The sequence below is a fragment of the Homo sapiens genome, chromosome 1 (genome assembly GCF_000001405.40).
Source record: "Homo sapiens chromosome 1, GRCh38.p14 Primary Assembly".
In the NCBI taxonomy this organism is placed as follows: Eukaryota; Metazoa; Chordata; class Mammalia; order Primates; family Hominidae; genus Homo; species Homo sapiens.
Window position 1 is genome coordinate 120,563,224 of NC_000001.11, and position 12,393 is coordinate 120,575,616.

At 38.8% G+C, this 12,393-nt stretch overlaps 2 pseudogenes across 2 annotated transcripts in view; one reads left to right on the forward strand and one right to left on the reverse strand.

Moving 5' to 3' along the window:
- The window catches only part of PDE4DIPP2 (PDE4DIP pseudogene 2), a 195,809-nt pseudogene that overhangs the window by 93,596 nt on the left and 89,820 nt on the right, over positions 1-12,393 (reverse strand). For both annotated transcript variants that reach the window (NR_144517.1, NR_144516.1), the window contains one exon: positions 9,849-9,966. The product of NR_144517.1 is annotated as a PDE4DIP pseudogene 2, transcript variant 2 (transcript). The remainder of the gene's footprint in view (positions 1-9,848; positions 9,967-12,393) is intronic.
- On the forward strand, positions 7,897-8,041 carry LOC124904641 (uncharacterized; annotated as a pseudogene).

Here is a 12,393-nt window from a genome sequence, read left to right on the forward strand (position 1 = left end):
TTGCACTATCTCTGTTTTGACCTCTAAATTTTGCAGTCACCATAGTCACTTTTGCACCCCCTGTGTGGCAACTGGGTTGTAGTGTTTCTAAGACCTACTGCTGGGCTGAGAGGGAGTTTCCAAAAGAATTGGAGAGGTGGAAAATCCCCATGTCCCAAACCAGTTGTATTAGGTTTCACTGCCCTAGTTATGACATTGGAAATAGCTATTCTAATTACTAAAAACTATGCACCAAAAGAAAAATGTGATTCTGGCAGAGAAACTAAGGCAGATGAGAAAATGCAAGAATGTCAAAGTAAAGCCAGTTAGGCTTTGTGGTAACACACAGGCAGTTGCGTGATTTCCCTGTGCTCTTTGGAAACCTTTAAGAAGTCAGAAACAATCATGCTTTCCATTAATTAACAACACAGCATCTTGAAATGCTTGTTTTAAAGCCAGGAGATTTCCGGTTCATCTGCAGATTATAGTAGTATGCTTCTCAGCAAAATCCATCTAATAGTAAACATTAGAGTCTTTCAAGTTATTAAATACGCATAGGTTGTTAAGTAAATTTTAAAGTATTTGTTAAATCAATCAATGAGCAAGAATGCAAACATACCTTTTTTTATCTCTTCAATGAGCTTTCAGTTTAGTTAAAAGGGAGAAAAGGTGCACGCTACAGTTAGAACAATTGACTGGTAAACTAAATGGTACTGAATTAAATTTAGTGTGAATACAGAAAAAGTTGAGGTTAGTATGGGCTGGTATAGTTGAAGGGACAAGAGTGGCACTTGAGATGGGTGTTAGGATGAAGAAGGCCAAGGAAGGGACTCAGCAAAATAAAATAGCTTCATTAAAAGCCACGGAACTTGGGTTAAACACAGTGCTAGCCTGTAGGTAAAGAGAGATGTTGGGGATTTTTGAATGACCAGGTTCATCCATCCATACATCTAATCCTCTATAGTTGTTCATTCAAAGAACATGTATCAAGAGCCAACTGTAAGCCAGACACTATGCTATGGAGTGCCTTGCCAATTAGAATTTGGTTAATGTTTTGACAAAGGCAAAAGAATTTGGACTTAATGTTATGGATTTAAGCAGACAATGACATGATGAAAACCTTTTTTTAGGAAGATTACCCAGGCAACAGGATGGATGGTACTTCCTTTTTTTTTTTTTTTTTTTTTTTTGAGATGAAGTCTTGCTCTTGTCCCCCAGGCTGGAGTGCAATGGCACAATCTCGACTCACTGCAACCTCTGCCTCCCAGGTTCAAGAGATTCTCCTGCCTCAGCTTCCTGAGTAGCTGGGATTATAGGCATGCGCCACCACACCCAGCTAATTTTGTTATTTATTTATTTATTTTTTTCAATAGAGATGAGGTTTCACCGTGTTGGCCAGGCTGGCCTTGAACTCCTGGCCTCCCAAAGTGCTGGGATTATATGCGTGAGCCACCGCGCCTGGCCCTCTGCTTCCCTCTTTTCTAATCTGATGGTTAAGCCCTTAGCATTCCCTTGACTCTGGAACTTTTGCAGAGCAAAGAGCAGAGGCTGTTTGAAGCCAACTGCATTTCTAGACTTTTATGAAATTCTAAGCCCACTGCGAAGATTGAGCCAGATGTCCCATTGGGGAAGAGAGGAGACAGAAAAGTTTTTGAAGTCAGCGAAGAGGAGAGAGTGACATTTCACACAGATGGAAAGAGACTGGAGGTCAAAGAGTAACAAGTACCCACCTCCATTCCATATCAGTGCCCTGGAGAAGCAGCAGGACCTCAGAGAGGGAAGTAATGGGGTGACTTGGAGAGGCTGCACTTTAGCAGGGGATTCTGGCTCCATAAAAGGTTAAATATAGCAAGCTTCTAGGGTTGGCAAAACCATGCTTACTGAGGCAGGGGTGGTTTAGTGGCAGATCAACGATCAGAGTAGTCTCCTTGGTGCTTTGGTACCAGGTAAAACCTAGGGACCTTTAAATAGCTGAGAAAGTAGGGAGAGGAGGAAATATCAAACGTATGAAATTGAATTTCTCACCATCCTGATTCAGACAGGGGCTTTAAATTGATGACTACCTTAGATTTATGAACTAAGAGTCATACACTATGAACTTTTGTTCGTTGGTGCTCAGTCCTAGACCCTTTTCACCTCTCTATTCTCTTCTGGTGTCATCTCATCCTTTCCCATCTTTATACCAGTGGCTTCCAATTTATGTTTTTATTGTAGAATTCTCATCTGAGTGCCACTCTCAAATACCTGGTTACCTATTTGATATCTGCATGTGGATGTGTCATAGACATCTCAAAATTACCGTAGGAAAGACTGATCTCCTGACTGTTGTCTTCCCCTTGTTTAAAGTGCCTCCCTTTCCTCCTAATACTTTATATGAGGAGTCAGAAAACTATGGACTGTGGACCAAATCCAGCCCCCACCTGTTTGTGCAAATACAGTTTTGTTGGAACACAGCCATGTTCATTCTTATGTGTTGTGTGTGACTGTTTTTATGCAACAATGGCAGAAACTTTACAGCCTGCAAAGCTTATTTACTATCTGGCCCTATACAGAAAAAGTCTACCAATTCCTGCTCTTTGCTTTCTTCAATGTATTTATCACAATTTGAAGTTATATATTTGTTTCATTATCTGCTTATTTATCTGCCTCCTTCCATAGAAGGTAATTCTCTAGTGCCTACCATGACAGCACCATTGCCTAGTCATGGTAGGCACTCAATTGTTATTGAATAGAATGTATGAATGAGAAAATGAACTATTATATATTAAAATTTTATTTTGGTCTTTTGCCTTAGCACAAAACTTTCATCCTTCCTTACCCTCCAATGACTTCATATCTTTGTTTTGTTTTGTTTTTTTCCGAGACGGAGACTTGCTGTGTTGCCCAGGCTGGAGTGCAGTGGCACTATCTTGGCTCACTACAACCTCCACCTCCCGGGTTCAAGCAATTCTTCTGCCTCAGCCTCCCCAGTAGCTGGGATTACAGGCACGCGTCACCACACCTGGCTAATTTTTGTATTCTTAGTAGAGACAGGGTTTCACCGTGTTGGCCAGGCTGGTCTCAAACTCTTGACCTCATGATCCTCCCACCTCGGCCTCCCAAAGTGCTGGGATTACAGGTGTGAGCCACCATGCCTGGCCCTAATGACTTCATATCTTAAGTAACAAGAGTGCTAAAATAATGAGTCCCCTCAATTTCTTTGCCCTCTACTCTATCCTCCTTTCAGATTAATCTTTCTAAAACAGAGCTCAGATATCACTCTCCCTCAAAGAAACCTGGAGACCCAATGACTTGTCCATTAATCCTAAACTTCTTTACCTGCTTCTTAAAGTTCTCTGAATCTGGCTCCACTCTATTTTTCTGTCCCCCTATATTCTATTCCTGCTACTACTTCTCTACCCTGAACTTCCCCACCTCTATACTTCATACACTTGGAATATTCTTTTCTATCACTACCACCTCCACCTGTCAAAATCCTATCCACCCTTCAAGTATTTCCTCCAAGCTGCCTTTCTGAGTACCACCAAAAGACATCTTTCTCTTCTTCCATCTTCCAAAATACTTTTTGTACCTATAGTAACTTGTATGTCATTTCTCCATACTGCGTTTTCCCCATTAACTGGTAAGCTACTTAAGAAAAGGAACCACAGCTTTCTCATCTTGGTATCTGCTATGGTTTGAAAGTTTGTATTCCCCTCCAAATTCATATGTTGAAATCCTAACCCCCAACATAATGGTATTAGGAGGTGGGGGATTTGGGAGAGATTAGTGTCCTTATAAAAAGAGACCTCAGAGAGTTAGCTAATCCCTTCTACCATGTGAAGACACAGCAGGAAATCCATAAACCAGAAAGTGGGCCCTCACCAGACACTGAAAATGCCAGTGCCTTGATCTTGGACTTCCCAGCCTCCAGAACTGTGAGAAATGAATTTCTATTGTTTATAAGCCACTCAGTCTATGGTATTCTGTTATAGCAGCCTGAGTGGACTAAGACTGCTTCTGAAGTATTTGGAACAGTATCTTTCTAGATCTCAATAATCATTGAATGAATGAATAAAGAAATGCCTTTCCTTTTCATATCTACTTAGTAAAATCCTACTCATTCCTCAGAGACCAAAATCTTTGCTTCTGACCCCAGTCCATGATGATTTTTCCTTTCTGTACTGCCTTGTATTTTTTTCATCAGTGACTTTCTCCTATTGTAATCTCTAGAAGGTAGAGACTAAATCCTGCACATCTTTGTGTTCTTCTTCCTTCACCTAACAGTACCTTGTGCATTACAAGTGCTCAGTAAATATTTTTGATTAAGTTGTAAAGCAGCTGCCTATTTTTCCACTTCCTTTGCTGCTCAAAAGGATTAGAGCAATGATTGCTTTAGCTGCTAAGGCCTGCTTCAGAGACACATTATTAATGAAGGTTGTCTGGGAGACAGTAATGTTGAACGGGGATTTGTAAATGAGTCTCCAGCTTCAACATTCATCAGCAAAAGAAGGGGATACTGAAAAGCTACTCTAAAAAAAAATCTCATATGAAGTTGTCCGGAGCTGCCTGAGCTACTAATCACTGCAAGGTTTTCAGTCTCTGCCTTGAGCATTTAGAGCACATTCTTGCCTTAACCTCCAAGTCAGATCTCTCCATGGTAACGCAGGAATGTTTGCTATTTTAGGAAATATGCCTCACTGCATGCAGTACTATTTACATTAAGTTCCAAACAAGGCATAAATGCAACAGCTTGACTGTGCTAATTTGTGTGAGTGGGAAGGTCTCACTTACTTAATGTGGGCCTCTCCCTAATTGTGTTATCCTGTTTCATTTTATAAGCCAACCACAGTGAGATTACATGTTAATAAATTTTGCTCATCTTATACTGAAGGAGAAATGCAGAGAGAGAAAAAAGGCGACAAACAAAACAAGAATTCCTCCAGACCTCCCTTTGCAAGGGCATCATTTTTTCTGCCTTCACACCCTCCAGGTCTGGTTTCATTTAAAACCTTCATTGAGATGAAGCTTCTAACATTCTGTAGAAGGAAATAATATCAATAACTGAAACAATTGCTAGCTTTTCCCTGCAACTTTGTAGATACCTTTACTGAGGAAGAGAAAAATGCTTTGTAAACTTTATTAGATTTTCTGACTCCCTAGTGAAAAAGATGTGGACAAGATGTCACAGCCTCACATCAAAAAGCTCCTCAACACTCTGATCACACATACTATTGATCTGAATGGACATCAAGAAGGATTGGAAGGAGATATGGAATGATGTCAGTCAATGGCATATCTAGTTGGTGGTACTTTTTTTGCTTTACAAGAAGTTAATTATAGACGTTCATAAATATTGTGCAAGTGCACTCCCACTAAAATGAATGTTGTAGAATGTTTTGGTAGAATGGAAAAGGAAAACAGCTAGAAAGACTGTAAGATCAATTAAATAAAATAATCTTTATCAAAAGTGTCTGTCTTATTTGAGAGAATGAAGACTCTGAAGTGAACTTCCTGTACTCAGATATTACAGTGAGTATATTATACTCATACTCCAGACTTTCATACTGGGATCACTTGAGAGATAGTTATCTGTGGGATGTGGAGTAAATGAGCGTTCTTCACTTGGACAATTCAGACCTAGAAGTGCAAGATCTGTGAGCTCTTCTTTCTTCTAGGGCCCAACTGTTTGTGGTATTCTCAGTTGTGAAGTATAGGTGGAATTAAAGGAAGTGAATAGGTCTTTAGAACTTAAGCTCCTCCATATTCCAGCTGAATCAGTGAGGGATTCCAGGGATGGCTTCACTGGAGATGAGGAGATTCTTTAGCCTCTGAAGAACAGGCCCAGAGCTTAGAAATTGAACTTTTACCTTCCACATTGTAAGGGTCTTTCTTCTGTGGTGACAGTTGGCATGGCAGACAAGGTTTGAGTAGAATACAGTGGAACTATAACTGTTACAGTGAAAGTATACTGTTAGCAGAGAAGGATAACACCCACAACATAGGCTCCAAGTGTCACAAATAGCAAGGTTCACCATACATTACCTATGCAGAGGGGAGAGACAAAGTGCTTTGTAATTGGTTTTATAATATTCTTTTCCCCAACCAATTCAAAGAACAGACTTGACAAAGCAGTTCATAGCTGTGTCAGATTATGATTTGCTCTCTGAGGAGGTGACATCAATTATCTCAGATGCTCTTCAAGCAATCCTCAGTTTCCACGACAACTAGGATTACCTTTCTAAATGCAAATCATATGCTTTTATTCCCCTTGCTTTTTTTTTTCTGGTGCCTACAACATGAAGCCCTTAGCTCAACATTTATGGTACTTTCCAGCTATATATTTTATCATTCTCCAATACTTATTTTTGGTAACATCGATTACTCCCAATTCCTTAGCTGTGTTCCACATCACTGTATATATTGCTCCGTTTCCTATTTTCTGCCTGGTGTATCCAGTCTTTAAGGCCCAACAGAAGGGTGACCTCCAGGTGAGTTCCTCCTTGGAGTTAATTCCTTTCAGCTGTGGGTTCCTTTAGCACCATGCGTGTATTTCTGTCTCCTCATTTATCACACTGTATTTTAGTTCTTTGTTTACATACCAGTCTTTCACTGGACTATAAACCTTTGGAAGGCTAGGACTCCCTATACTAGTGGTACTCACTGAGCAACTGTCTCATCTCCTAGAGAGCATTTTGAAATTTTGTGGGGGTGTTTCTTGTTTTTGATGTTGTCACGATGATAAGTGAGGCAAGGGATGTTACAGGACAAAGTATTGTACCAAATTCCAAATGACTTTTGGAATTTGAATGTTCCATTGGGTGATGATAAAACTGTTTACAATCATCTGAACCTAGAACTTAATATATATATAGGAGCATGATGTTAATTTACACTAAATTTTTCCATGAATTAAACTACTATGTAAATTGAGGGAAGACACTACCAGTCCTTGGGCCCAATTTTTTTTCCCATAAGACGTAGACCCAAAGGGAGAAACAAGGAAATATGCTATGGGAGGCTTTCTATTCTCCACACTTGAGAGGACCAACTATCAGCGGCCTCCTGTGGCAGAGCTTTCCAACTTGGGTATTCCAGCACAGTGTACCTCAGCATGGTCCACCACTGTGCAAAGACGCTGATCCCCTCAGCTCTCAGGGTGGTGCATGGGTCCTGAGGTGGCCATAAGCAATTGCCTCAAACCATGAGCAGCCATGGGCACTTATTTCAGAATACCATAGATGTACACTCATTTCCTATGAAAATGAATTTTCTATGAAAAAGGGTAGGAAACATTGTCTTATAGAACAAACAGCGCAATGTATCAGGTTTTGAAATGTACAATGTATTGGGTAATAACAACAATAAATTTTCATTAGGCAATGTTTAAAAAGCATATCAATTTAGTACAGTTTATATGATTTGATGCATTTCTTCTGCCCAATGGTCATGCAATATTATCCCCTGGATGCTGTACTTATTCTTGTTCTAAGCATCCTTTTAGAGTAGAATATAAATAATTTAGTCTCTTTGAAATTATAATCTTTTGGTTCTTTAAGTCTGTTCTGAAAACTGGTACCAAACCAATTCCTTAATTAGCATTGAAAATACTGAACTAAATATATTCATTTCAGTGCTTACCAAAGATGATGAAAATAAGTATATGTACAAAATATTTTAGTATTTATGTGCCTGTAAATACAAAAGGAGCAATAAAAGTGATTTCATTTCAGAAGGTGAACATTTTGAAAGAAATAATATTCATGTAAATTCTGAACTAAAATAGAATGAAATAAAATTCTGAAATAAGATAAAAATAGAATGTTAGCATTATAGGAAACTATGGAGATTATTTGAGCTAATCTTCTCATTTTATGTATATGGAAGCTGAGAAGTGACATATCCATAGTCATACAGCTAATAAATAATCAGGATGGAATCGCTTCTCGGCCTTTTGGCTAAGATCAAGTGTAGTATCTGTTCTTATCAGCTTAAATAATCAGGATGGAAATTCAATTCTTCTTATTCTCAGTTGAGCTTTTTCTAATTAAATGCATTACGAAATATTTTCAAGAGTCCCTTAAGAAAATTTCCACATATTTCAACATGTATCTTGCAAAAAGCCTATGAACTTCAATTTGTATTCATACTTGTAAAATTATGTTCACACATTATTTCTTGAGTTTGTTAACCAATGCTTTCCAACCAAAATGGAGCTGCAGTCTAAGAAGTTTGTAATTGTGGCCAAGATAGTAATTTTTTCCTGCCCTCATAGTGGCCTAAGCACCCAAATTGGCCACCTCCAAGTGAGAAGCTTCATCCATTTACCTCTATACCTTACAAATATTATCATTTGCCATGAAATGGAAAGGTTGGGAAGCAATGGTTTAAACTAATTCTTATCATTGCTCTTTTATCTTGACCCCAACCTTTCCATATGTGAACCAGTAAAGTAAACCACCCACATTTTGTCTTATCAGTAGTCTAAGACCAGTGCAAGAATGTAAGGATACCAGGTAATTGCTTTTGTTGTTTGGGTGCAGGTATATTCTAAAGTTCTTTTAGAAAATATCTTTTTAGTAAATTAAAAGTTGAATGAAGGAGAGGAGTTCCCTTCGAGGTAACTTCCCAGAAAATCAATGCAATTATTTTTTACCACAGTGAGTTCTCTTTTCAATATTAAAACTACATTATGGCCAGGTGTGGTGGCTCACGCCTGTAATCCCAGCACTTTGGGAGGCCAAGGCGGGCAGATCACCTGAGGTCAGGAGTTCGAGACCAGCCTGGCCAACATGGTGAAACCCCATCTCTACTAAAAATACAAATATTGCTGGGTGTGGTGGCATGCACCTGTAATCCCAGCTACTCGGGAGGCTGAGGCAGAGGTTGCAGTTAGCCGAGATCATCCCACTGCACTTCAGCCTGGGCAACAGAGTGAGACTCCAACTCAAAAAAAAAATTTTTTTTTGGAGGCAAATTTCTATCATTATCTGATACACTTGTACGGAAATAGTAATCACCATTTCAACTAGTACCCAGCACATTTTCAAGGACCTGGAAGGTTCATACTCCAATATATACAAACAGAGAATATGCCTAGCTCATAGATGATCAATAACTGTTTATTTGAACCCACAGTTTGTGTACTTCGGCACAGTATTTTACAACTTAACCCTCAAAAAAACCCCTAAAACATTGTATGTTCTATATAATTATAAATCACTTGATGTGGCTGGCAAATTCTAAGGTGGTCCCTATAATTCTCACCCACTGGCCATCACATCTTTGTGTTATCCTCACCCCTTGAGGATGGGTAGAACCTGTAACTTCTAACCAATATGGCAAAGGTCATGAAATGTCACTGCATAGTTATGCTATGTTATATGAAAAAAGTAAAGAGGTCATATAGATGTAATTAGGGCTGCTAATCAGTTGATTTTAAGTTAACAAAAAGGGATATTATGCTGGTGGGCCTGCCCTAATGAGCCCCTTAAAAGAAAGTCTAGAAGTGAGAAAAGTAACAGACTCTTTCTGCTGCTGGCTATGAAGAAGGAAGCTGCCATAACTTCTACAGCTACACAGCAATAAATCCTTCCAACAGCCTGAGGAGCTTAGAAGCCGATCCTTCCCTAGGTATGCCTCCAGATGAGAAAAGAGCCCAGTCTACACCTTGATTTCACACTTATGAGACTCCAAACAGATCTCAGCTAAGCCATATCTGGACTCTTGACTCACAGAAACTGTGAGATAACAAAAATAAGGTGTTTTAAACTGCTAAGTTTGTAGTAATCTGTTACACAACAATAGATAACAAATACACTTAGATATTAAAAAGCAGGGCTTATGAAAGCATGAAGCAAGTGCTTCTGGATGTACTGACCAAACCTTACCTGCACTTCCATGCTAGTTGGCTCCTCCAACAGATGTAGCAGTTGTTGTTTCTCCCGAGATAGCTGTTCTACAAGCCTCTCCTGGGCAGCCAGGCTCTGATTCAGTTCTTCAATTCTCCTGAAGCAAAGGAAAAGTAAGGACAATAATTATGATCATGATACTATTATTACCTTATTTTTTCAGCCCATTCCAAAGATAGCATGGTCTAGTATAGCAGGTTTTTATCCTTTTGGATCATTGAACCTTTTGATACATTTCTTTAGAAAAGCATGTATTTTCTGCTCAGCCCCCAAATATATACACAAACAACTTTTTGCTTACATTTTCACCACATTCATGGACCTCCTGAAGTTCATCCATGGATCTTTAGACCATAGGAATTTAACTCTTGGAATAAGGGCCTAGAATTTTTTGGTGGTGGTGGTAGTGGCTGTTCCATTCAATAAACGGTTCTTGGATAACTATTTTGTGTACTCAATGCACTCTACCAAGTACTGGAAATATGAAGTTGGGAAAGAAACAATCGCTGTTTTGCAAAAATTTAAATTCCACCAGCATGTGTTTGCTAGTGATTTGGAGAGTAAGAAGACACACAGCTACAGTCACGTACCATATACTGTTTCTGTCAACATTATGTCATCATACTGCATGTATGATGATGGTCCGATAAGATTATACTGGAGCTGAAAAATTCCTATCACCTAGTAAAGTCCTAGCTGCAGTAACATCATAGTGCAATGTATTTCTCACTTGTTTGTGGTGTTGCTGGTGTAAAGCAAACCTACTGCGCTGGCAGTTGTATACAAATATAACATATGTATAGTATGTAATACTTGATAATAAATGTTACTGGTTTATGTATTTACTATACTATACTTTCATTGTCGTTTTAGAGTGTACTCTTTCTACTTATTAAACAAAATAACTGTAAAGTAGCCTCAGGCAGGTCCCTCAGGAGCTATTCCAGAAGAAGGCATTGTTATCATAGGAGATGACAGCTCCATGTGTGTTATTGTCCCTGAAGACCTTCCAGCGGACAAGATGTAAAGGTGGAAGACAGTGAAGCTGATGATCCTGACACTGTGTAGGCCTAGGCTTGTGTGTATGTTTGTGTCTTAGTTTGTAACAAAAAAGTTTAAAAAGTAAAAAAAAAAAAATTAAAAATTTAAAAACAGAATAAACCTTTTCTAGAATAAGGATATAAGGAAAATATTTTTATATGACTACAAAATGTGTTTTAGGCCTTCACATTCATTCACTTCACTACTCACTCGCTAAATCACCCACAGCATGTTCCAGTGCTGCAAGTTCCATTTATGGTCAGTGCCCTAAACAGGTGTACTGTTTGTTATCTTTTATACAGTATTTTTACTGTATCTTTTCTATGTTTAGATACACAAATGGTTACCATTGTGTTACAATTGCCTACAGTATTCAGTACAGTAATATGTCATACAGGTTTGTAGCCCAGAAGCCATAGGCTATACCATATAGCCTAGGTGTGCAGTAGCCTATCCCATCAAGGTTTGTGTAAGTATGCTCTGTGATGGCCACACAATGAAGAATGAAATTGCCTAAAGATACATTTCTCAGAACATATCCCTGTAGTTTGTGATGCATGATTGTATATAAGCAAATAATAGTAATAGAATATAATAAATGCTACCAGAATAGAGGCACCATATAGTACATTGAGTGCTGCCATAGAGCTATAGGATGAAAGATAAAGAAATAATTCATTTGACTTGAAGGAGTATAGCGATGCTCAGGAGAAGAAATTTTAAAGATTGAGTGGTTTCAGAGTAAACAGACAACCTACAGAATGGGGGAAAATATTTGAAAACTATGCATTGGACAAAGGTCCAATATCCAGCATCTATAAGAAATGTAAACAAATATACAAAAGAAAAGCAACCCCATTAAAAAGTGGGCAAAGGACATAAACAGACACTTCAAAAGACGTACCTGCAGCCAACAAGCATATGATAAAAAGCTCAATAACACTGATCACTAGAGAAATGCAATCAAAACCACATGTGATACCATCTCACACCAGTCAGAATGACTATGGTTAAAAAGTCAAAAAATAACAGACGTTAGTGAGGTTGCAGAGAAAAGGAAACACTTATACACTGTTGGTGGGAGTGTTAAATTAGTTCAACCACTGTAGAAAGCAGTATGGTGATTCCTCAAAGAACAAAAAGCAGAACTACCATTCGACCCAGCAATCCCATTTCTGGGTATACTCAGAGGAATATAAATCATTCTACCATGAAGACATATGCATGCAAATGTTCACTGCACACTATTTACAATAGCAAAGACTTGGGTGGTTTTCCAGGCTCAGAAGGAGGAGATTGAACAAAGGAACAAAGGCATGAAGACCCAGTGTACAATTTGGGAAGAGTCACTGGAACAAAGGCCCAGGGAAGAGGCAATGGCTGGAGAAGAGACTGAAAATTCAGACCCTCAGACTAGGGTTAAGTTGTAAAATACTGTGCTGAGGTATACAAACTATGGGTTCAAATAAACTTATTGATCATC